At 48.3% G+C, this 25,650-nt stretch overlaps 1 protein-coding gene and 1 long non-coding RNA gene across 4 annotated transcripts in view, besides 6 other annotated features; one reads left to right on the forward strand and one right to left on the reverse strand.

Moving 5' to 3' along the window:
* Positions 1–5,968, reverse strand: part of MRTFA (myocardin related transcription factor A) — a 226,431-nt gene extending 220,463 nt beyond the window's left edge. For all 3 annotated transcript variants that reach the window (NM_001282661.3, NM_020831.6, NM_001282662.3), the window contains exon 1: positions 5,727–5,968. The gene's annotated coding sequence lies outside the window, so the exon portion shown is untranslated. The remainder of the gene's footprint in view (positions 1–5,726) is intronic.
* Positions 5,423–5,732: a silencer, noted in NCBI's record as "silent region_13772". NCBI's record gives its function as "represses an Ori minimal core promoter by ATAC-STARR-seq in GM12878 lymphoblastoid cells {active_cell/tissue: GM12878}" and the evidence as "EXISTENCE:reporter gene assay evidence [ECO:0000049][PMID:35858748]".
* Positions 5,993–6,302: an enhancer, noted in NCBI's record as "active region_19096". NCBI's record gives its function as "activates an Ori minimal core promoter by ATAC-STARR-seq in GM12878 lymphoblastoid cells {active_cell/tissue: GM12878}" and the evidence as "EXISTENCE:reporter gene assay evidence [ECO:0000049][PMID:35858748]".
* Positions 7,042–8,241: an enhancer, noted in NCBI's record as "P300/CBP strongly-dependent group 1 enhancer chr22:41033797-41034996 (GRCh37/hg19 assembly coordinates)". NCBI's record gives its function as "activates an origin of replication core promoter dependent on BRD2, BRD4, P300/CBP, MED14 and CDK7 cofactors, with strong dependence on P300/CBP, by STARR-seq in HCT116 cells {active_cell/tissue: HCT116}" and the evidence as "EXISTENCE:reporter gene assay evidence [ECO:0000049][PMID:35650434]".
* Positions 20,868–22,067: an enhancer, noted in NCBI's record as "P300/CBP strongly-dependent group 1 enhancer chr22:41047623-41048822 (GRCh37/hg19 assembly coordinates)". NCBI's record gives its function as "activates an origin of replication core promoter dependent on BRD2, BRD4, P300/CBP, MED14 and CDK7 cofactors, with strong dependence on P300/CBP, by STARR-seq in HCT116 cells {active_cell/tissue: HCT116}" and the evidence as "EXISTENCE:reporter gene assay evidence [ECO:0000049][PMID:35650434]".
* On the forward strand, positions 21,097–24,020 carry LOC124905122 (uncharacterized). Its single transcript, XR_007068108.1, has 2 exons — positions 21,097–21,219; positions 21,928–24,020. It is a non-coding gene; the product is annotated as an uncharacterized LOC124905122 (long non-coding RNA).
* Positions 21,549–21,648: an enhancer, noted in NCBI's record as "active region_19097". NCBI's record gives its function as "activates an Ori minimal core promoter by ATAC-STARR-seq in GM12878 lymphoblastoid cells {active_cell/tissue: GM12878}" and the evidence as "EXISTENCE:reporter gene assay evidence [ECO:0000049][PMID:35858748]".
* Positions 23,831–24,205: a transcriptional cis regulatory region, noted in NCBI's record as "candidate enhancer chr22.2152 targeted for multiplex CRISPR interference". NCBI's record gives its function as "positively regulates EP300 gene expression in K562 cells {active_cell/tissue: K562}" and the evidence as "EXISTENCE:mutant phenotype evidence [ECO:0000015][PMID:30612741]".

Here is a 25,650-nt window from a genome sequence, read left to right on the forward strand (position 1 = left end):
GAGCACAGTGGTGTGATCACAGCTCATTGCAGCCTCAAACTCCTGGGCTCAAGCAATCCTCCTGTCTCAGCCTCTCACATGGCTGGGATTATAGGCATGAGCCACAGTACCAGGCCTATACCTTTGAAATTCCCTCCAGGTTAACCTTGTCCCTCAAACTCAGCCACACAGGTTCTCATTCTAGGTATTTTTATTATGGGCCCTAGCTCTTGTGAAGCACATGCTCTTTTAAGTACTGCTTCCAGCTAAACCCATTCTACAGACAGAGAGCCCAGTAAATTCAAAGATACAAGATGGTAAGAGACACCCTTAATGGCAACTTGTGCACCTCCTTGGGTCTTATTTTAACTGTGGAATTCACCTAAATAAAGCCACTGGTTCACTCTACTTTGTAAAATAAAAATTATCTAGATGTAGGTACTTGACATAGAAAAATTGATGGTGAAGCAGCAATGGTTAACATTTAAATGCCTCCTTCTGCATACTCATATCAGTCTATATTCATTCATCTCTCTGACTCCAAACTAATTCACCCAGTCAGTTCTACGCTACTGCCCAAAACCAATGATGATCATAATAACCATGATAATGACATGCATGTAAAGCTGTTCCAAGGACTTTATATATTTTTATTTAATCCTCACAGCAACAATATGAAGCAGGCCCCATTTTTATCCCCATTTTACAGCTAGTGAGTCACAGAGAATATAAAGTAGCAAGAGTATCATAGTCACACAGTCCAAGTTCATACACACGGCCGGCAAGTAGAGCCAGGATTCCGATCTATGCAGTATGACTCTAGTATTTATGTTAACTACTTATGCTGTGTAACTGCTCATCTATCACTAAGTTACTGTTTTCATCAATATAAAAAAAAATGACTCCACCTTCACCATACACATAGATTTCAAATATTTTTCCTTATGTCAACACTGGCCTAAATTACTTAAAACATTTCATGTGAACCTAATTTAGTGTCTACCTCCACATATTAGCCTCCATGTGAAAGGTACATAGTAAACACACAATAAATATTTATAAATATCTGATAAAGGAATTAAATTTTTCCCATTCCTTCATTCCTCCAAAGGTAATCTTTCCTACTCTGAGTCCTCCCCTCTCCCCTACTTCAGAACTTCAGTACCTTCTTTTCAACATTTTCTACTTTACCCACTGTCGTGGCCAGCCTCCAAGATGGCCCCCAATGACCCTCACCTCCTGCCATTTACATTCTTGTGTAGTCCCTTCCCACAATGTGTGGCCAACAGAATACTGGAAAAATGATGGTATGTGACTTCTGAAGCTAGGTCATAAAAGTCAATGCAGCAGCTTGGTCTTTTGTATTACATGCTCTGAGGCAAGCTGGCTGCCATGCCATGAAGGCATTCATGCGGAGAGGCCCACATGAAGAGGAATTGAGATCTCCCACCAACAGCCTGCACCAACCTGCCAGCAATATGAGTAGCCACCTTGAAAAAGGATTCACCAGCCTCAGTCAAGCCTTCAGATGACTGCTACCTCAGCTGACATATTACTGCAATTTTTTTTTTTTGAGACAGTTTTGCTCTGTCACCCAGGCTGGAGTGCAGTGGCACGATCTCAGCTCACTGCAACCTCCACCTCCCTGGTTCAAGCAATTCTTATGCCTCAGCCTCCTGAGTAGCTGGGATTACAGGCATGGGCTGCCACTCCCAGATAATTTTTTTTTTTTAGATACTCTGCCGCCCAGGCTGGAGTGCAGTGGTGCAATCTTGGCTCACTGCAACCTCCGCCTCCCAGGTTCAAGTGATTCTCATGCCTTAGCCTCCTGAGTAGCTGGGACTACAGGCGTGCATCACCAAACCTACCTAATTTTTGTATTTTTAGTAGCGACGGGGTTTCCCCATGTTGGCCAGGCTGGTCTCGATCTCCTGACCTCAAGGGATCCACCTGCCTCAGCCTCCCAAAATGCTGAGAATACATGTGTGAGCCACCGTGCCCAGCCATTATTGCAATTTTTTGAGAGACCTGAGTTTGAATCACTCAGCCAAGCTGATTCCAAATTCCTGACTCACAGAAACTGTGAAAAATAAGAAATGTTGTCTTAAACACTAACTTTCGAGGTAATCTGTTACACAGGAAGACAGTTAACACACCCGCTCTCCAAAACTCTAATTTCCTTGAGAGCGGAGACTATTTCCTTGATTCTCAAAACTCTATTAAAGCCTTAGACATAAACAGCGCCCATATTTGCTGAATTGTGTCAGTGGGTCATTCTCTTTGTTCAATGTCCCCCTTCTTCCAAAATGTATTCATTTATAAAAAACTACTCCCCAAGCCTATACCACTTCATCCATAACCCATCAATGTTTTCTCTTTTCTCTTTCAAAAACCTGAAATATAACCTCCTGACCAAAGCTTTTTCTCAGTAAAGAAATGTTTCTTATGTTTGTCAATTGCAACTATCAACCCTAGCATTTATGTGAATATATATACACACACAAGAACACGGAGTAAATATATATTTGTTCATGTTCATCTTATATTCAAGAAATATTTACTGAGCACCTGCTATGTCCCAAGAACTGCCTTTGAAGCTGGGAAGAAAAACAAATATCCTCACCCCTGGGGAGCTTACAGTAGTATATGAGCTTGCCACAGTGTTTTCTCGAAATATAATACAACGATCTTTGTTAATACAACTTAAAAATTCTAAATTTCCCTTTGTAAATTAAATGGCTGTAAATCTACAAATCGTTTTTTAAATACACTTAAATAAGTATTTAAGCTGCACTCTCAAAGAAAGTTTATACCTGTTTAACAAAGTTAGTAAAGTGCTTCATATGGAATCTGTATATATCAATGTACTCCATTTTTACTGAATGTTCCCACAGGCCATACTTTTTAGGAAATATCACCAAATTTATAAGTATAAAATATATAAATAAAGATAGCCTTTATTTATTATATTGCCATATATAAAGCTTATAAAGATAAGCTTTATTTATTATATCGCCTTAGTGACTAAATCAAATATGAAACATTTCACAGAAAGTAACTTGCAATAGATGTAGTAAAATGATAATAATGATAATATGGGTAGAACTTTCTAACCTCTTTCATATTTACCTCTACAAAAGCATGTTAAAAGGAACCGTATACCATACTTTTAAGTCAGAGATTCAAGTCCTGGTTCTGTTAACTTCTGTATCCCTAAATGAGTTATTTAACTAGTTGCAGCCTATTTCCCTATCCTAAAGCAACACAATCAAAGCCTAGCTTTTATGTAGTGGGCATCAAGGAATGTTAGTTTCCTTCTCCCTTCCTGGGGCTTATAACTGGTATATCAGAAGATTTATCAGGATTTTTTTTTTTTTTTGAGACAGGGTCTCACCGCACATTCAGGATGGAGGGCAGTGTGAACATAGCTTACTGCCACCTCAAACTCCTGGGCTCAAGGGATCCTCCAGCCTCAGCCTCCTGAGTAGCTGGGACTACAGGTGCAAGCCACCACGTCTGCTAATTCTTTAACTTTTTTGTGGAGACAAGCTATCATTATGTTGCCCAAGCGGGTCTCAACTCGAACTCCTGGCCTCAAGTGATCCTCCTGCCTTGGCCTCCCGAAGTGCTAGGATTACAGGCGTAAGCCACTGTGCCCCGCCTATCAGGAAAACTTTCCAAGCTGTTATTTCTCTTTGGAATTTCCTCTCCTTCATCTGAGTTAACATTCAGCTCAAATGCCATTTTCTTTGAAGCCTTCCCATACATCCACAGGAAAAGCTCCCTTGACTCTCCCAGTGAAGTCTGGATTTAGAGTGTATTTCAGCGCGTTACAATCATCTGTCATTTTTTGCCTCTCCCACTAGACTGTGAGCTCCTCATGAGCAGGGACCATATCTCACTTATCTTGACAGCCCCAGCCCTTAGAAAAACACCTGGCACGTTACAAACATGGAACAAAAAGTCTGTTGAATGAATAAATGAAGTCATCCCTTAAGTAGTACTTGTAATTACTAACGGGTGACCCAAACTTTATGGTTTTGCCCTTTATAGGCTGAGATTCTATTTCATACTCTTTTTAATCACTCCCTAATAGCATCTGGCAGAGTACTAAGGACATGGAAACTCTCCAATAAATACTTTTGGGTGATGGGATACATATTACTCTTCCACCTCTCTTGATTTGACTCTAAATAACTTATTCAAGTGGATGTGACTTTTGGAAGCCTTCTTAAAAACGGGCTCTTCTTAATAGTTATTGGCCAAAAACTGAAACAAACACTAGAGCTAAACTACAGATATTTTTTTCTTTGCAGGTGTTTTTAAAGAACGCAGTAATGGATTGCTTCTTTCTAAATCATTTCAATAAGAAACAGTAACATAAAGCCCTTTGGTTCGCTATGAAAAATGCAAACGACATTAAGCAAAACTTAGTTTAATAACTTCCAGCCAAAGGTTCCCCACCCTGCAGTCATAGGGCTGTGGGCCAGCTGGCTGTACCACCTCACCCCCGGGAGATGACTGCTTTTCAACAGTAAAACTGCGTAAGTGACATTTGGAGTTTTGGGGGTCTTCTGAAGTAAAACATGTAGGTCTAACTTCTTACTGACAATAAGTCTTAACGTTACAGGCTTCGGCTTGATGTAGAAAGGACCCTGAAAAGATCTCAAAAACTTGCAACTCGGGGACATTCCAGACGTCTTATGAGTTTAAAACTATGTAAAAACATACGAAGCATGGGGTAATTCCATTATTATATTTAAGTGATGTATTCCACATTCCTGTATATACACACACTTCATGCCAAACAGAGGCTGGCAAGCAAGTTAACCATTCAACTGCCCTTTCGTTATGCTGCATAACAGGGAGACAACAGAGAGAAATCTTGACAATGCCAAGCTGGGCTAGTGCTTAAAGGCACACAGGCAAACCAGGCATTCTCAACATCCCAAAAGCAAACATTTCTTGGGCCCTTACTATGGGCCAAGCACTGTGTCAAACGCTTCACGTGAATTATTTCATTCGACACTTACAACAAACAACCGTATGCGATTGGTGCTATTATCCTCATTTTTCAGACGAGGAAACCAAGGCACAAGATTACACAGCTAGCAAGTGGCAGGTTTGGGAGTCGACTCAAAAGGTCCAGCCCTAGGCACTATGGAGTATCAAAGGTACCCGAAGCGGGGAGGGTGGACTGCATCAGCGTCCTGACAGACGCTTTCTTAGGAGGTAAAGTTCTTGGCCATCAAGTTTCAGATTTGCAGAGCCCTGTACACCTGGCAGCATTCAGGTTTGCTATACTGGCACCAACAAGTCCAGCTGAGCCTCCTTGCCTGGGAATCCCAAGGACTGCACTTGGATCCTGAAGGTCTGCACAAGACCCCAGAGAAAGCGGCCGACACCCCGTCCCTGCAATCAAAACACATCCCGGGAGAAGCGAGGGCGAGGACCTCCGTGCCTCCCCGCCCCGCGCAGCACAGCCCTGCCAGGCAGTGCACAGGTGCACGACCGCGCCCGCCCGCCCGGCCCGGCCCGGGTCCCAGCCCCGGCACAGTGACCGCCGCTCTGCGACTCCGGCCCCGAGGGCAGGGGCAGAAGGCCGGCAAGAAGAGGGCAGGGGACGCGAGGGCCGCCTCGCCCGACCCCCCGAGGACGCGCGCAGCAGGGTCGGGGGGGAAAAAGGATGCTCCAGGCGGGGCGAGGCCGCGGTGGGGGAGGGGTCCCCAACCCGGACTCTCACTCACCGCCTCGCGCGGCTCCCGGCCGGGTTCCGCGGCTCGCCCCACTCCGGCTCTAGCCGCCCGCGTCTCCTCTCGAGGCTCACTGTCCAGCCCGGGCGCACGGAGCTGAGAAGTCGCCGCCAGCGGAGGGCGTGTGGCCAGCGGCAACCAAGAGGGTGGGAAAGATGGGACCGTCGCTCTCGCCGCCGCGGCCACCACAGACACTGCCGCCGCCGGCTCCTCTCAGCCACGGAAGCTGCGGGCCCGCCCACCACGCCCGCCTCCCGTCCTGAAGACTGTCCGCTGGAGAAGTGACGGCGGCGCTAGCCAATCAGAGGCCTGATCGGGGTCGTGATCGGCGGACTAAAGGGCGGGCGGAGAAGGAAGCGGCATGAAGAAGGCGAAAACGGCGGCCTGACTTCCTGTGACTGACGGCACGGCGCAGCCAATGGGCAACGGGGAGATGACCTCATCTCTGAGGAAAGTCTGGAACTGGCTGAGCTGCGGCGAGGGGGTTGGCGACGAGCCGGGGGCGGAGCTCTGGGCCTTAAAGAGGCCGCAGCCCTGTGGTCACCCTGTGAAGGGAAGGGCGGTGGACCCTGCCGGATCTTGCGAAGTTGCCAAGGGGTCAATGCCCAGGCGCGAGTAATTACTGCATTAATCCCAGACCCCATCCCGATTCTTGTCGGGGACTGAAGGGTCTCCGCCTGGGGCTCCGAAGTCGATCATTTCACATTCACGCTTCCCAAAACGAGACACAATAAATTCCGCTCTGGCCTGGAGCCTTGAATTCCCGTTACGGTCCCGCCCCGCCGAGGCCCGTCGCCTTGTTTCTCTGAGTCAGTTTCCCCAACGGTGAAAGGGAGGACGCTGACACCTGCCTGCCCCTCCCTATCTGCCGAGGCCGTGGAGATCAGCAGCAGCGAAAGCGCTCTGGGCTTAGAAGAGGAAAAGGGCTGCGTGAGCCCAAGAGCTTGCATCGGAAGGCTCCAGGAAGAGCATCTGCAAAAAAGAGGATTCCACGGGATGACCCCCGACAACTCTTGGAATTCTAAAATCCTATACCCTTGCCCGCACCCATTCGTGTAGTGAAGGGGCGCGCGTTAGGCGCAGAGGCCACACGCTCCGCAAGTGAACCCGGGCACCTCTCTGAACCTATTCCGGGCTGAGGGCGGGGAGCGGGTGGCTGCCCGATTTAAAAACATGTATATGTATGTGTATGTGTATGTGTATGTGTATGTGTATGTGTATGTGTATATGTATATGTATATGTATATGTATATGTATATGTATATGTATTATGAGTGAAGTCCATGACTGCAACAGGGAGAAAGGAGAAAGGCGAAAGGGGAGAGAGCAACAAGGTAAGCCAGGCCCACTGTGATGACAGCTGCGGTCATGCAGGCCCTTCGTATCCGCCTTCCTCCCCAGCAATGGGAGAGAGCCCAGAAAAGGAGAAATAACCCCAACTCGATGGGGTGGAAAAGGGGGAAGCGCTTTCCGGAAGGCTTCCGGGATGGGGTCACCAGAGTCAGAGGAAGGAGTAACAGTAGATAGAAGAAGAAGTGGTCAGGGGCGTTCTTCTAGGTTTGGGGCGGACCCGCGTGAAGATGCAAAGACTGAAAAGGGGCGGCTCACTTTACATTCCAAGGTAAATTCTCACTATGACCCCCTTTTCCCCATCAAAGGCTTCTGGGACTGCCCATGGGTGAACTCAGAGGGAGGGTAGGAGAGGGTGCTGCTCTATCCAATGGCGGCAAAAGTCAAAGTGGCCTTGGGTATTCCCAATTACTCACTATAAATCAGCTTCCAATGCCGGTCGCAGAATCTTGGAGTTAGACGGGATCCTCGTGGGCTCTTAGTCACACACACCTTCCCCAAGGCAAAAATTCTTGCACAAAATACCTGATAAAATTATTTATTCGATAAATATTTTTTGAGTAAGAACACTGAGGGGGTAAGCTAGATGAGATACAGTCACTACCCTGGGGGTGCTTACACCAAACTGGAGGATGCTAAGGCACGTACTGCGGTGACTGCAATGCCAGGCCGGTATCCCAGGTGACTAAAACAGGATGCAGGCCGGGTGCGGTGGCTCACGCCTATAATCCCAGCACTTTGGGAGGTCGAGGCGGGCGGATCACGAGGTCAGGAGACCAAGACCATCTTGGCCAACACGGTGAAACCCCGTCTCTACTAAAAAACAGAAAAAATTAGCTGGGCGTGGTGGCGGGCGCCTGTAGTCCCAGCTACTCGGGAGGCTGAGGCAGGAGAATGGCGGAACCTGGGAGGCAGAGCTTGCAGTGAGCTGAGATCGCGCCACTGCACTCCAGCCTGGGCGACAGAGTGAGACTCCATCTCAAAACAAAAAACAAAAACAGGATGCAGTCCGGGCGCGGTGACTCACGCCTGTAATCCCAGCGCTTTGGGAGGCCGAGGCGGGCGGATCACGAGGTCAGGAGATCAAGACCATCCTGGCTAACACGGTGAAACCCCGTCTCTACTAAAAACAGAAAAAATTAGCTGGGCGTGGTGGCGGGCGCCTGTCAAGTCCCAGCTACTCGGGAGGCTGAGGCAGGAGAATGGCATGAACCCGGGAGGCGGAGCTTGCAGTGAGCCGAGATGGCGCCACTGCACACCAGCCTGGGCGACAGAGCGAGACTCCGTATTTAAAAAAAAAAAAAAAAAAGAGGATGCAGAAGTGCGCCTCGGAGGAGAAAGTACCCCCACTGGAATTATTGGGGTGGGGCAGATTTCCCCAAAACATGACCAAGGTGGGGCATTCCAGATAGTACCCACCCAGACACAGCCCTCCTTAAAAAGCCCAGGTAATGAGGAGGCACAAGTGTATTTTATTAGTCACAGGAAAAGAGATCTGCCCATTCATGGCAGAGACTGCAGGCAACCTCACCGTCTCACAAATATCTCTATACTTTTTCTGGACAACTTAAATTGTATACGTTTTATATACTATATATAGACACATATATATTTTGTGTATATATAAAGGGTTAGGCTGGATGTGGTGGCTCACACCTGTAATCCCAGCACTTTGGGTGGCCGAGACCAGAGGATCACTTGAGGTCAGGAGTTCAAGACCAGCCTGGCCAACATGGTGAAACCCCGTCTCTACTAAAAATACAAAAATGAACCGGGCGTGGTGATGCTCACCTGTAATCCCAGCTACTCGGGAGGCTGAGGCAGGAGAATTGCTTGAACCTGGGAGGCGGAGATTGCAGTGAGCCGAGATCCCACCACTGCACTCCAGCCTGGGTGACAGAGTAAGAGAGACTCTGTCTCAAAGAAAAAAAAAGCCAGGCGCGGTGGCTCACGCCTGTAATCCCAGCACTTTGGGAGGCCAAGGCGGGCAGATCACGAGGTCAGGAGATTGAGACCATCCTGGCTAACACGGTGAAACCCCGTCTCTACTATAAATACAAAAAATTAGCCGGGTGTGGTAGCGGGCGCCTGTAGTCCCAGCTACTCAGGAGGCTGAGGTGGGAAAATGGCGTGAACCCTGGAGGTGGAGCTTGCAGTGAGCCGAGATCGTGCCACTGCACTCCAGGCTGGGCGACAGAGTGAGACTCCGTCTCAAAAAAAAAAAAAAAAAGGGTTTATATATTTCTTATAGGTGGTCTGCCTCCCTCTAATCTCTGACCCCACTCCAGCCTGGGTAACTCTGAAAAAAAAAAGGAATAACATTATCTCTGACCCTAGATCCTAATGTTATCCTCTAAAGCTTCACCAAACATGTCTAATCCCACTTCACCCTCTTTCCCACACCCTCGACCCATCTCCACAAAACAGTAGGGAATAAGTCCCTTTTTCTTGCCATCAGGCCTCAGTGACTTCATGTCCTAATGACTTCATGCGGACATCCTTCAGGATCTATTGGCGACATGTGTTATTTGTGTCCTTCCCTGTAAACATTCTCTTTCTTTTGGTAAGAGAACTCCACTTTCCTCTGGGGAACTGTCAGAGGCGTTCGAACCAGGACTCCATCTTAAATAGGGGCTGGGTAAAATAAGGCTGAGACCTACTGAGTTGCATTTCCAGGAGATTAGGCATTCTAAGTCACAGGATGAGATAGGTCAGCACAAGATACAAGGACCTTGCTAATAAAATATGTTATGGTAAAGAAGCCGGACAAAACCCACCAAAGCCAAGATGGTAAGAAAAGTGACCTCTGGTCATCCTCACTGCTCATTATACACTATTTATAATGCATTAGCATGCTAAAAGGCACTCCCACCAGTGCCGTGACAGTTTACAGATACCATGGAAATGTCCAGAGGTTACCCTCTCTGGTCTAAAAATGGGAGGAAACCTCAGTTCCAGTTCCAGGGATTGCCCACCCCTTTCCCAGAAAATTCATGAATAATCCATCCCTTGCTTAGCATATAATCGAGAAGTGACAATAAGTATAAGCAGCTGAGTGGCCCATGCCACTGCTCTGCCTATGGAGTGGCCATTCTTTTGTATCTCTTTTTTTTTTTTTCCTTTTTTTGACACAGAGTCTTGCCCTGTCACCCAGGCTGGAGTGCAGTGGCACAATCTCAGTTCACTGCAACCTCTGCCTCCCAGGTTCAAGCGATTCTCCTCCCTCAGCCTCCAGAGTAGCTGAGACTACAGGTGCGTGCCACCACACCTGGCTAATTTTTGTATTTTTGGTAGAGAGGGGCTTTCACCATATTGGCCAGGCTGGTCTAGAACTCCTGGCCTCAAGTGATCTGCACCCCGACTCAGCCTCCGAAAGTGCTGGGATTACGGGCCTGAGCCACTGCACCTGGCCTCTTGTTTCCTTACTTCTCTAATAAACTTGCTCTCACTTAACTCTATGAATTCGCCTCAAATTCTTTCTTGCACGAGATCCAAGAACCCTCTCTTGAGGTCTAGATCAGGAGGCCTTGCTGGTAACAGAACCACTCCGCCCCACTGTCTATCCCTGTAGCTGCCTTGGGAATATGACTCACTACTCACCTTGGGGTTGGGGGGTGGGGGGGATCACATGGCCCAGTCCTAACCAATGAAAGCACTCCAACCCTTGCCTGCCATCATTTGTAGTGATTGATTTAGGGAAAGACATGTGATCAAGACAGTCCAGTTAGCGTGAGTCCTGGCATCTTGTTAGAACTACTGGGATGGGGCCGAGAGCAGTGGCACATGCCTGTAATCCCAGCAATTTGGGAGGCGGGGGGATCACCTGAGGTCAGGAGTTCAAGACCAGTCTGACCAATATGGTAAAACCCCGTCTCTACTAAATACAGCTGGCTGTTGTGGCTCGCGCCTGTAATCCCAGCTACTTGGGAGGCTAAGGCAGGAGAATCGCTTGAACCTGGGAGGCTGAGGCAGGAGAATCGCTTGAACCTGGGAGGCAGAGGCTGCAGTGAGCCAAGATCATGCCATTGCACTCCAGCCTGGGAAACAAAAGCAAAACTCCATCTTAAAAAAAACAACTACTGGGATGGAGTTTTCTCTACAGGAGGGTTGCTGAACTGTCTGGCTGTACACCTGGCATTAACAGTGAGGACCACAGGGAGAATAAAGCCAACACAAAACCAAACAATCACAGCTGAAATACGCATAAAGGCCATGACGGATGATAGCTCTGTTTGAGAACCTAGATCCAGTTCTTTTCTGGCTATTTGATTTCATAGGTGTCTTGGGTCAGGGCCCTTAGAAACAGAGCCTGTAAGACAGAGCCAATGAACAGGACTTAGTGAGGGAGGAAAAACCTGTAAGGGAGGAAGATGAGCAAGACAGAGAAGGGAAGAGACTCGAGTAAGGCTCAGCCTGATCTTTCCTTGGCCTGATGCACATAGGAGAGCTCTGGGCAGAAACAACACCACAGTCACTCACCTTGAGGCATGGACAGCTTTTTGTCCCCTAGTCTATGTCAGTGGTTGTGGGCCCTAAGGAAGTTAAGGTCCCCAAGGCCACTCCCTTCAAATGAGGGCAATTCTCTGAAATTTTGTGCAGCTGGGAACCCTTAGCAGCCAACACTCACAGCAGCTGGGGCATGGGTGCACTTACCTGCTCAGGAGGCATCATTTGAGTTGTCCGCTGTGGGCTAACACATTCCTATTGTTGCAGCAAAAATGTAACTATGTAAAGTGCTCAGGTATGACCTGACCTGACTGCCAAACAGTACCGTGAGCCTGTGGCCTTCCTCGGTCTGACTCCCTACGTCTACTATTAAACTATACTTTTTGCATGTGTATATGGAGACAGGGTCTTACTCTGTCACTCAGGCTAGAGTGCAGTGGTGTGATCATAGCTCACTGCAGCCTCCAACACCTGGGCTCAAGCGATCTTCCCACCTCAGCCTCCCAAGGAGCTTGGAAGTACAGATGCTCACCACCTTGCTCAACTAATTTTTAAATTTTTTTTGTAGAGACAGGGCCTGGTTATGTTGCCCAAGCTGGTCCCAAACTCTTGGCTTCAAGTGATCCTTCCACCTCAGCCTCCCAAACACTGGGATTACAATTGTAAGCCACCGTGCCTGGTTCATTTTATTTATTTTTTATTACTTTTTTTTTAATTTTTATTTATTTATTTATGACAGAGTTTTGTTCTATTGCCCAGGCTGGAGTGCAGTGGTGCAATCTTGGCTCACTGCAACGTCTGCCTCCCGGGTCCAAGTGATTCTCCTGCCTCAGCCTCCTGAGTAGCTGGGACTACAGGCATGTACCACCACACCTGGCTAATTTTTTTGTATTTTTAGTAGATAGCAGGGTTTCACCATGTTGGCCAGGCTGGTCTTGAACTCCTGGCCTCCAGTGATCTGCCCGCCTTGGTCTCCCAAAGTGTTGGGATTACAGGTGTGAGCCACCGTGCCTGGCTTCATTTTATATTTGCATCGGCAGATCTAGTGGCTGCACTGACCCTTTGGCTCAACCTGACTTTATAACCAATCCTTTCCACCCCCTTCCCTCTAGAGCTTTTCCCAAAAACTGATACTAAGCCAAATTCACTCTTGTATTTCTATAATTAATTCTTTTTTTTTTTTTTTTGAGATGGAGTCTCGCTCTTGTCGCTCAGGCTGGATTGCAGTGGCGGGATCTTGGCTCACTGCAACCTCCGTCTCCCGGATTCAAGCAATTCTCCTGCCTCTATAATTAATTCTTTAACACAAATGTAAAACTTTAAGCCTCACTCTGCTAATCATGAGCAGCCAGTTGTCCTTCTGTCCATTTCCATCCTTCTTTGCACCTTGCTGAAAACATGTGCTGATTTCATTCTGTCACCTATCCACTGGCCACCACTTCTGATTCTGCTGCTGCTGCTGAAAGGGGCAAATCCAATGACAGGAACCTTCAGCGAACCACTGAAGACTGATCTTCCTCCTTCCAACCTGTTAATTCATACTCTGAGAAAAGTTACTCCCCCATCCTTTCCCTCTCTATTTCTCTTCATGGAGAATCTCTCCAAAAGTATTTTCCAGGACTTGATCAACTCCGTCTTCAGCACATCCTGTGCTTTCCTATTTCTTCTTAAGTCTTTGTTCTGATTAGTTTTTTTGTCTAGAATGTCCTCTTTTATCTTCATCTATTCAAATCCCAGCTGACATCCCACTTCCTCCAGGAAGCCCTCCCATATTCCTCCAACGTAGGTGGATCTTTTCTTTCTCTGACAATCTGTAGCTCCTATTGTAACAAGCAGAATGCTAAAGCATTCCAAGTGCATTATCTTATTTCACATGAGGAAACTGAAGCTTAGAGAGGTTAAGTAACTTGCTCAATATCACACAGCTTAAAACTAGCAAAGCTAGGATACGGATATTAAAATTAAGATCCTGGGGCCGGGTGCAGTGGCTCACGCCTGTAATCCCAGCACTTTGGGAGGCTGAGGCAGGTGGATCACTTGAGTCCAGGAGTTTGAGACCAGCCTGGCCAACACGGTGAAATGCCATCTCTCCTAAAAATACAAAAATTAGCCAGGTGTGGTGGTGCATGCCTGTAATCCCAGCTACTCGGGAGGCTGAGGCAGGAAAATCGCTTGAACCTGGGAGATGGAGCCTGTTAGTGAGCTAAGATCGCACCACTGCACTCCAACCTGGGTGATGGAATAAGACTCTGTCTCAATAAATAAATAAATAAATAAATAAATAAATAAGATCCTGGGTGTAATTCAATAAACATTTGTTGGCTACATACAAGGAACTAGAGGAAATATAAAAAGGTGAAATAGATCAGCTTTGCCACAATCAAGAACAGGGTCCATGAAATGATGCTAACACGAACAATGCTGAAAGGATAGTAGAATGAGGTCTGGTCTAGGAAGGGAGTGTTCCTGTCTGGTGGAGAACCCACTGAGGCAACACATGAAAGAGCTTATGTTTGACAGGCAGTAATGAGGTGGGGCACTCCAACTTAGGAAACACTGTGAGTAATAACGTGGAGGAAGGAAAACAGAGGACATGTTTGAGCAAGGGAGTCACCTGGGTTGTTTGAGAGATAAGGTTTGAAAGTTTGCTGAGGCCTTGTTGTAAAAAGAACGCCATGGTAAAGGAGGCATTACGTTCTGGAAAACAGAATCCAGACTGTCTTAAGATTCACCTGGTAGTTTGTCAGTTGGAATGGAAGGAGAGTGAAGTGGGGCTGGAAAGATAAATTAAACCACTACTGTTATCCAGCCAGGAGGAAATAAAGACCCACAAGAGGGGAACAATCAGCATGGAGTTTTTTCCCCTCTACCCTGTAAACACTTTCCATATCTCTGTCCCCTAGACATTATAGCATCCTTGAGAAAGGGCAATAATTTAAAAAAAAAATATGCCCATAACCTTTAAACTGCTAACAATTTCTTCAAATGTAGTAAGCACTCAGCAAATATCTTTGGAAGTGAATTAAATGTATAAGTGAGGTGTTAAAATGCTAGGGCTCTGTGACCAAGCAAGGTGGCCCATACCTGTAATGCCAGCATTTTGGGAGGCCGAAGTGGGAGGATGGCTTGAACCCAGGAGTTCAAGACCAGCCTGAGCAACATAGCAAGACCCCATCTCTATTATATTAAAGTTTTTTTAAATACTGGGGCTCAATCGGGTGCAGTGGCTCACACTTGTAATCTCACCTCTTTGGGAGGCCAAGGTGGCATATCACTTGAGGCCAAGAGTTGGAGCCCAGCTTGGCCAACATGATGAAACCCTGTTTCTACTAAAAACACAAAAATTAGCCGAGCATGGTGGTGAGTGTCTGTAATCCCAGCTACTCAGGTGGATGAGGCAGGAGACTCACTTGAACCCTGGAGGCAGAGGTTGTTGCAGTGAGCTGAGATAGTGTCACTGCACTCCAGCCTGGGTGACAGAGTGAGACTCCGTCTAAAAAACAAACAAACAAAAAAAGCTAGGGCTCTGTTTACATAGTTTTATTGGGTCATCCCTGGGATTGCAAACACCTAGTATATCACTTGATCACAAAACTGAGCTAGTTTTTATTCAGCACCTACTGTGTACATCATCATCTCATTGAATTCTTCCATGAACACTTCATAGAAGGTACCAGCCTTATGTCCATTTCACAGATGATGAAAACTGAGGGTCAAGCAGGTAGAGGGACCAACAGTCCAGTTTGCAGGAACTGAAGGGTCAAGATGCAGGACTTTTACTGACCAGGGGAAACTAGGAAGCTTGGTATCCCTACCCAGCGACCTTGATTTGCATCACACATGCCAAAGTTTAAACACAAGTTTGATTAACTCAAACCCCCGTGGGATTTTATTCTGGCTTTCTGATCATTGCAGCCAATATAAATGTCTTCTTTGGGTACTTTCAGGATACAATCCAAACATAACCTCGAATCTAGCTCATGTAGTCGGGGCCTACTTGAGACTGAAGTACTTGACAGGCAGAGAACTCAAAATGGATGGGTTTTCTTCAGCAAGAAAAGGAATCCAGGCTGGGGAATATTCCTGGAGGACGTCCTTAGGAACGGTTCGATTATCAGTTGTTCTTTGACGCCCCCTGGTGGTTGAGAACTGTAACCCCGTTTTTGCCCCCTGGAGTAGAGAAGAGGCCGCGCTGGTAAACAACCAAGAGGTGGAACTGAACTGAAAGTTCTTATTGCTTGTGGAACAAAAAGATTTTGTTTTAAAAACAAAAACTTGGCCGGGCGCGGTGGCTCACGCCTGTAATCCCAGCACTTTGGGAGGCCGAGGCGGGCGGATCACGAGGTCAGGAGATCGAGACCATCCTGGCTAACATGCTGAAACCCCGTCTCTACTAAAAATACAAAAAATTAGCTGGGCGTGGTGTTGTGCGCCTGTAGTTCCAGCTACTCAGGAGGCTGAGGCAGGAGAATGGCGTGAACCCAGGACGCGGAGCTTGCAGTGAGCCGAGATCACGCCACTGCACTCGAGCACTCCAGCCTGGGCGACAGAGCTCGACTCTGTCTCAAAAAAAATAACAACAACAACAACAAAAAAACTTGCAAAGATTTTTTTTTTCTTAAATAAAAGCTTGCCATGATGTTATAGCCTAGGGTGAGGAGAATCAGACACAAAATTTAAGTGGATGCCAAAAACTTAGCAATTAAGAAAAATAATACAATATTTCAAAAAATCAAAATTAGGCCAGGCGCGGTGGCTCAAGCCTGTAATCCCAGCCTGGCCAACATGGTGAAACCCTGTCTCTACTACAAATACAAAAATTAGATGGGTGTGGTGGCGGGCGCCTGTAATCCTAGCTACTCTGGAGGCTGAGGCATGAGAATCACTTGAACCCCGGAGGCGGAGGTTGCAGTGAGCCGAGATCACACCACTTGCACTCCAGCCTGGGCAATAGAGCGAAACTTAGTCTCAAAAAAAAAAAAAAACAAAAAAAAACAAATGTAGGCTTGGAGCTGCCGGTGGCCATCTAGCTGTCAGAAGGCAAGAAGAGATTTGAAAATAAGGCCCAGGCCAGGCGCGGTGGCTCACACCTGTAATCCCAGCACTTTGAGAGGCCGAGGCCGGCGGATAACCTGAGGTCAGGAGTTCCAGACCAGACTGGCCAACATGGTGAAACCCCGTCTCTACTAAAAATACAAAAATTAGCCAGGCATGGTGGCAGGCACCTGTAATCCCAGCTACTTGGGAGGCTGAGGCTGGAGAATTGCTTGAACCCGGGAGGCAGAGGTTGCAGTGGGCCGAGATCGTGCCAAGAGTGAAACTCCCTCTCAAAAAAAAAAAAAGAAAGAAAGAAAAGAAGGCCATGTCTACAGCCATATCACCCTGAACACACCGGATCTCATCTGAAAATGAAACCAAATAACAACAAGGAGCAATGAAGGGTATAGAAGAGACAGGGGCAGAGTCCCCATGATATGATTCAAACCCCTGGATGGAGCAGCGCCTGAAGTCCTTAGCATATGGGGCAAATCACAAAGTTGGGTGGGGAGGTGATAAAGACTCCAGCAATTATGTGGAACTCTGCACTTTGAGTTGGTGGAACAAGTTATACTGATTTCTCTCCTTACCAAAATGCTACCTGATTAGAACAGCATTCTGAAGTCATTCTTTTTTTTTTGGAGATGGAGTCACCAAGGCTGGAGTGCAGTGGTGCGATCTTGGCTCACCACAACCTCTGCCTCCCCAGTTCAAGCGATTCTCCTGCCTCAGCCTCCCGAGTAGCTGGGATTACAGGCATGCACCACCATGCTCGGCTAATTTTTGGATTTTTAGTAGAGACGGGGTTTCACCATGTTGATCCACCTGCCTTGGCCTTCCAAAGTGCTGGGATTACAGGTGTGAGCCACCGTGCCCGGCTGTGAAGTCATTTTTTTACATGTCTGTTTGTGCTGCCTTCCTACCTACTCATTCTGAAGTGATTATTTTTTTCTTGCCTGGATGGACAAGGAGACTCAATACCCCACTGCACCTGAGTTTTGGAAAACTAGAGTGTGGAAAAAGCAGCAGCAGCTGCAGCAAAAACACTGATGAGAGTCAAACTGAATGATTATATTACACTAATGGTACCAGCTCCCGACAGGTGAATAAAATGTGCCTCATGATAGCAGTCATACAACAAATACCTTACAAGAAACTCACAGAGAAGAGGGGCAGAGCAACTCAGTGGAAAAGCAGGTGTGGTTTCAAAGCCTGGCTCTGCCCCGAGCCATGTGACCTTAGGAAATAGACTGTGTCCCTGAGTTTCAATCTCGTCACCTGTAAATTAGGAGTAACCATACAGATCGCAAGTCAACACCTGCCCTTGCACCGCTGCGGGGCTCAGCGGTCACTGACATGCAGTGAAAAAGTGGAAGTTCTAGCTGGGCGCGGTGGCTTATGTCTGTAATCCCAGTACTCTGGGTGGCTGAGGTGGGCAGATCATGAGGTGAGGAGTTCGAGACCAGCCTGGCCAACATGGTGAAACTTCGTCTCTACTAAAAATACAAAAATTAGCCAGGCATGGTGGCGTGTGCCTGTAATCCTAGCTACTCTGGAGGCTGAGGCAGGAGAATCGCTTGAACCCTGGGAGGTGAAGGCTGCAATGAGCCGAGATCGCGCCATTGCACTCTAGCCTGGGCGACAGAGCAAGACTCTGTCTCAAAAAAAAAAAAAAAAAAAAAAGGAAAGAAAAGTAGAAGTTCCTTTCCCGTCTATCCTGGGTCTTCACTGTCTACGTGCGTCCCCTCACTCCCAGCTGCTTGGGACCACGCTGTGCTTTGGTGTGGGTCAGTACCTGGACCCCTGGCCTGTCCCCTCAAGGTGTGCTTCTTCCTTCCCACAACACCAGGCCAGAGGTACTTGCTTTCCTTTCTCATCTTGGGTCTCTATTTTCCCACACCGTGGTGTGTCCCACACTTTACGGAGTGTTGGGGTGAATACAGAGAATGACAACAGAGAACTTATAGCTGTGGCCTAAACCTCATTGTAATGAGATGGAGAAAATTGTGTTCACTGGAACTCCCTTCAGAGGAAGCATTGTTTATTTATTCAGAAAAAAAAAAATTCTTTGGCCCAGTGCAGTGGCTCATACCTGTAATCCTAGCACTTTGGGAGCCCAAGGCGGGAGGATCTCTTGAACCCAGGAGTTTGAGACCAGCCTGGGAAACATAGCAAGACACGATCTCTACAAAAAATTTAAAAATTAGCCGAGCACGGTGGCACGCACCTGTGGTCCTAGGTACTTGGGTAGCTGAGGTGAGAGGATCACCTGAGCCTGGGAAGCAGAGGCTGCAGTGAGCTGAGACTGCTCCATTGCACTCCAGCCTGGATGACAGAGTGAGACCATGTCTCAAAAAAAAAAAAAAAAAATCCTTGATAAACCCACTTTGGGGAGGAGTTGAGCCCCCCTCCCCCCCAATTATTTAATAATAAATAAATAAATAAATAAATAAAATACCTAGAGAAGGAAAAACTACAACCCAAGGCATGACCTACTGGCACTACTCAAACAGTAGACATAAAGATTTATGGGGAGCAGGGGATCTCTCTTTAGGCCCAAGCTAGTGAACTGAAACAGTGTGACAGCAAATATCATTGAAGGCCAGGCCATTGTAACCACTTGATTCTACCTCCGCTCAGCCAGTCTAGGCCAGAGTGCTTAGGAGCAGAGCAGGGATGTACAGATGTCCCCAGTTCTCCACTCCTCTTGACCAGTAGGAACCCAGTATGGATGAGATGTAATGATTAGGTCCATAATGTTCAAAGTCAGCTTGTGACTTTGAGCAAGGGATTTTTTTTTTTTTTTTTTTTTTGAGGCAGAGTCTCACTTCTCACTCTGTTGCCCAGGCTGGAGTGCAGTGGTGCCATCTCTGATCGCTGGAACCTCTGCTTCCAGGGTTCAAGCAAGTCTCATGCTTCAGCCTCCTGAGTAGCTGGGATTACAGGTGTGTGCCACCATGCCTTGCTAATTTTTGTATTTTTACAGACGGCATTTCACCATGTTGGCCAGGCTGGTCTCGAACTCCTGACCTCAGGTGATCCACCCACCTCAGCCTCCCAAAGTGCTGGGATTACAGGAGTGAGCCACTGCGCCCAGTGCAGGTGACTTTAAGGGCACTTTTGCAAAATGCGAGTGATAATGCATTCTGATGGTTATAGATTAAGGTTAAGTAATTTAGCTGAGCTCAAACAGGCAGTAAATGGTAGAGCTGTGATTGGAACACAGACCATCCAGTGCCATAGTCCAGCCTCTTAGCTACAATGCCCTGCTTAGTTGTGGCTGGTCAGCTCTCTGTGGGTCCAGCAAGGGCTGTCACCCAGGCTGGAGTGCAGTGTTGCAATCTCGGCTCACTGCAAGCTCCGCTTCCCGGGTTCACACCACTCTTCCGCCCCAGCCTCCCAAGTAGCTGGGACTACAGGCGCCCGCCACCACGCCCGGCCAATTTTTTGTATTTTTAGTAGAGACGGGGTTTCACCGTGTTAGCCAGGATGGTCTCGATCTCCTGACCTCGTGATCCGCCCGCCTCGGCCTCCCAAAGTGCTGGGATTACAAGCGTGAGCCACCGCGCCCGGCCAACAGTGCAGTGTCTTAACGGTAGCTCTGCACAAAGTCACAAATTAGTCACAGTAACTTGTTACTTTGTATTCCTCTCACCTGTTTTGTGAGATTCCACAATTTCTCCTGCCTTCAGTTGCATTGCTTGGTGTATGATACATAGTCAATCTTTTTATCCATATCTCAGGAGCAAAATGTAACACAAATTCTACTTGTGGGTATCTTCCTGTATTCGGTTTTACAAAGCACTTGCATGTTGCCTTGTCAGGAAAGAGCAGTTGTTTCTCCAAAGAGAAAAGTTGTTTCACTAATATTAAGCTCATTCCCTATAGCTCAGTGTCCTTGCCTTTCTCTCTACATAATCACTTTTTATCCAAATGCTGAGTCACTATATAATTTTTTGAAGACATTTTAAATAGCCCTCAATTCAGTACACGCAGCACCAACACTGCACCTAACTCAGCTGAAGTTAAGACAATATGAACAGCTATGTTTAATTTATCAAATTTGCAAGCAATGATGATTCCATTAAAATGAAAAAAAATCATGTTTTAGGATTAGTTAAATGTGGTAGCAAATGCTGGTACTGATTAGAATTCTTACAACTGCAAGTGACAGGAAACAGACTAACTTAAGCAAAAGGACTGCATTAAGCCAGGAAATTCCAAAAGTCCCTGTAGTATAACAGTTTCAGGTATGGCTGGATTCAGGACTCCAGAATATAACCAGGACTCAGTTTCCTGCCATTTCTCTTTCTTTTCCGCAGGGTTGGTGTCAGTGGCAGGTTTCACATGCTGGCAAGCTGGAGCCAGCAGCTCCAGCTCCAGCTCTAGCACCCCTGGAGTTTTGAGTCCAGTGAAAAAAACGATGAGAGGCTTTGTCCCAGATATTTTAGCCTGAGTCTCAATGCCTCTCATTGGCTCCAACAGATCACATGCCCAGCCCTGAGCCAATCAACATGGCCACATCCGGGTCAGTTACTACTGCCTCCGCCCCATGCTGTGGAGCCCGGCTGGAAGCCCGGGGGTTGTTGGGTCTTCACCCGGGAAATGGGGAGAGAGACTGCGGGGCAGCTGGCACCACATACGTGCCTTACAGGTGGGGTGTGGGGACTTAGGAGGGCTTAGCACCCAGAGCATTAGCCCAGGGCCTGGCCCCTGGTGGCTTCTCCCGGCCGCTGGCTGCTTGGCAGGGCTGGAGGGGAGGAGACCCACAGTTTCGGGCTTGAGTCACCTCCCTCCTGGCCAGGCTTCGGCGGCACTGACTCAGCGCCTGCGTGAGCTGGATGCTGCCTGGAAAGCTAATCAGCCTCTGAGGCGAGTCATGCCTCCTGTGACGTGGGCTTGTGCTGTGAGTGGGCGGGAATGAATGAAGAAGCGTGGGCTCACCATGGTTCCTAGAGTGTTGATGAAGTGACGGGAGAGGGAGGCGGAAGTCAAGAGCAGCCCTTGGAAAAGGCTGCCAGCCCAGGCTGTGATGCTGTCTGCGGGCCCGTGCAGCCTGGTCCCGGGGTGGGCTCTCTGCACGCGGGCCCGTGCAGCCTGTTCCCGGGATGGGGCACACAGCTGCCACCTCCCCACACCCCAGCACCGGGGAGCGCCCCAGGGCTCCGCTGTGGCCTGCCCTGCGGCTGGCAGGCCATCCTCCGGTTCGTCCCTGTGTTTCAAACCTAAGTTCCATGAGGCAGGACGGGGTTGGTGGGGTCGGGCAGGAGGGCCGGGGATTGGAAGGTTGGCCAGCTCTACCTCCTGCCCTTCCCACCGCACCCCAAACTTAGCCTTGACAAACGGATCTCTGCCCTTCTAGGGGAGAGGAGAGGAGAAGAAATGGTGGTAGAGAAAGAAAGGCAAGGGGAGCTGTGCAGAACCACCCGGAAGCTTGAGAGTTCAACGCGGAGAACCTGCTCTGTGCCAGGCCCCCACCTGGGAGGTGTGGGCAACCTTCCTGCCTTCCGGGTGCTCAGAGTCTAGTCTGGAGACAATAAGAAAAATGGTTAATCACCATGGAATGTGCTAGCGCCTTAGCCCGAAGCAGGGGTCTGGTTATTGAGGTTTGTTGAAGGAAGATGCCTGTAAGGGCTGGGTGCGGTGGCTCACGCCTGTAATCCCAGCACTTTGGGAGACCAAGGTGGGCGGATCACCTGAGGTCAGGTGTTCGAGATCAGCTTGGTCAACATGGTGAAACCCTGCCTCTTCTAAAAATGCAAAAATTAGCCAGGCGTGGCAGTAGGTGCCTGTAATCCCAGCTACTCGGGAGGCTGAGGGAGGAGAAGCACTTGAACCCGGGAGGCAGAGGTTGCAATGAGCTGAGATTGGCCACTGCACTCCAGCCTGGGTGACAAGAGCAAAACTCCCCCTCAAAAAAAGAAAAGAGGGGGAGGGCAGGGGAGAAGGGGGAAGGGGGAAGGAAAGCAGGTATTGAAGGAGAAATTGCTGAGCTGGGCTCAGGTCTAGCCTTGGCCTGGGTTAGAGGAGTGGGCTCCAAGCAGAGTGGCCCCCTTAGAGGCAAAGAGAATGGCCTTGTCTGCCTCCTTTCAGGCTTTGGATGGGGCTGATAGGTGAGGTGGTGGGTGCTTGTCAGCCAAGGGCCCCTCCACATAAGGGGACAGGTGGGGGGCAGCTGCGAGTCTGTAGACCCAAGACTTGCAGCAGCTGGAGGACCGGTGAGCAGCCTGGTAAAGCGACCTGGGGAGGCACCAGCAGCATCTGCTGCAGTATGGCCACACTAGCTGTTTGATGGAGGACAGGGTAGGGAGCAGAGAGTAGGGAGCCGAGGGCAGGGAGCTTCCAGAAGGTCATTCTGCTGCATTGTGAAGAACAGCTGAGGAGGCGGCCAAGAGAAGAAAGGTCCGAGGGGGGCCGGGCGCAGTGGCTCACGCCTGTAATCCCAGCACTTTGGGAGGCCGAGGCGGGTGGATCATGAGGTCAGGAGTTTGAGACCAGCCTGGACAACATGGTGAAACCCCGTCTCTCCTAAAAATATAAAAATTAGCTGGGGCATGGTGGTGCGTGCCTGTAGTCCCAGCTACTCGGGAGGCTGAGGCAGGAGAATTGCTTGAACCCAGGAGGCAGAGGTTGCAGTGAGCCAAGATTGTACCACTGCACTCCCGCCTGCACGACAGCATGAGACTCTGTCTTAAAAAAAAAAAAAAATGGCCCGAGGGGTCGACATGTGCAGAAGTTACAGGAGCACACAGCCCTTTCTGGAAACCCTAAGATGTTTAAGGGTAACACGGGGTATGGGGGGAAGCAGGAGGTGGTGGTGAGAGAAGAGGCCTGACCCTGAAGGGTCACGTGTGCTCAACAAAAACAGGAGTTCTAAAAGAACCGGATTTTCCTTTCACCCCACCTCAGTTTTTTCTGCAAACAGTTGTGCGTGAAATCAGGACCCAGATGCTGCAGAACTGAAGTGGGAAGGGACTGACCACCACTGGGCAAAAGGCCGAAGAGGGTAGGCCACAGAGGGGCTGTCTCTAAGGGCTAAAAATACAAGGGTTGAGACCAACTGAAGTGTGGCGATTTCCTTGACGTTGGCATTTTGGTTTTGTTTTCCTTTTTTTAAGATAAGAGTTATATAGTAACTCAGAGCTCAGTAACATCAGCATTTTGGAAGTAGGATAGGAAGAAAGTCTCATCACAAGGGAGCCCTGTGGAGAGGAATGAGCACAGAATTTGGAGTCAGAAGAGTGGAAGGCCTGGGCTTGGGGCCTGGCTGCACCGTGCCGGCTGGATTGTTCTGGGAAAGCTGCCCAACTCTCTGCTCCGCAGTCCCCACATCTGTCACTAGGGATCATATCTGCCTCACAGGATCAGCTGAGATAAGGCACGTGTGTAAAAGGCTGTACAAATGTTAGTTACTATAAGGTTGTCTCAAAAAAATAAAACCCACGGCAAAGAGTATCCCAAGGCAGGCTCATTTTACTCCAATTACCATTTGGCACCGAGCAGATCAGGGGACTTACTGCATGACACAGCAAGTCAGTGGAAGAGCCAAGGAGTGCACTCATCCAAGTTACTGATTCCGATGTCAGCAAAACCTGCTGAAACCCATCTTCACACTGCAGTTCAGAGGGTGTCCCCAGGAAGCACCTCTCTGCAAAGCATGTTCAACGTAGTTCCCAGTGGCCTGCCAAATGGTCAGCAGCAAGGTGTAACTGGATGTCGCTTCCAGGAAGCAGAGTGAAAAGAGACAAGGAGTAGGAAACTAATGTCCAGAGTCGGCCATTTGCCCCAGGGACCGGAGTGGAGACTGCATTTCTAAGTGCTTCCTCTGTCCACAGCCCTCCTCCCCCATACCTTTTAAAAACAGATTTGCTGGCTGGGTACGGTGGCTCATGCCTGTAATCCCAGCACTTTGGGAGGCTGAGGCAGGTGAATTGCCTGAGCTCAGGAGTTCGAGACCAACCTGGACAAAACCCTATCTCTAGCAAAAAATACAAAAAGTTAGCCGGGCCTTGTGGTGCATACCTGTGGTTCCAGCCACTGGGAAGGCTGAAGTGGGAGGATCACTTGAGCCTGGGAGGTGGAGGTTGGAATGAGCTGAGATTGCGCCACTGCACTCCAACCTGAGTGACAGAGTGAGACCCCATCTCACAAAAACAAAACACAGATTTGTTGGCTGGGCATAGTGGCACATGCCTGTAATCCCAGCACTTTGGGAGGCCGAAGCGGAAGGATCACTGGAGTCCGGGAGTTTGAGACCAGCCCAAGCTGTGCAGCCCAGGCAACACAGCAAGACTTTGTGTTTCTTTTACAAAAAAAAAATTAGCCAGGTTTGGTAGTGTACACCTGTAGTCCTAGCTACTCTGGAGGCTGGGGTGGGTGGATCTCTTGCTTCCAAGAGTTCAAGGCTGCAGTGAGCTGATTATACCACTGTACTGTGGCCTGGGAAACAGAGTGAGACCCTGTCTCAAAAAAAAAAAAAACACCCAAAAGACAAAACACCACATTTGTTGAAATATAATTCACATACAATAAAAATACATCGTTTTAAAATGGACAATTCATGGTGATGTGCACCCGTAGTCCCAGCTACTTGGAAGGCTGAGATGAGAGGATCGCTGTGAGTCAATGAAACCTCTTTCCTTTATAAATTACCCAGTCTCAGGTATTTCTTCATAACAGAATGAGAATGGACTAATACATCCTCCCACCTCATCCTCCTAAAGTGTTGGGATTACAGGCGTGAGCCACCGCACCCAGCTGTTTACACTCTCTTGATGGTGTCCTTTAAAGCACACAAGTTGGTAGGAAGCAGTAGCTCATGCCTGTAATCCCAGCACTTTGGGAGGCCCAGGTGGGAGGATTGCTTGAGGCCAGATTGGGCAACATAGCAAGACCTCCATCTCTACAAAATTTTAAAAATTAGCTGGGTGTGGTGGTGCATGCCTGTAGTCCCAGGTACTCAGGAAGTCAAGGCTGAAGGATCACTGCAGCCTTGAGTCCGGCAGGTTGAAACTGCAGTGAGTTGTGATCGCACCACTGCACCCTAGTCTGACCAAAAGAATGAGACCCTGTCTCAGAAAAAAAA

The sequence above is a fragment of the Homo sapiens genome, chromosome 22 (genome assembly GCF_000001405.40).
Source record: "Homo sapiens chromosome 22, GRCh38.p14 Primary Assembly".
Lineage (NCBI taxonomy): Eukaryota > Metazoa > Chordata > Mammalia > Primates > Hominidae > Homo > Homo sapiens.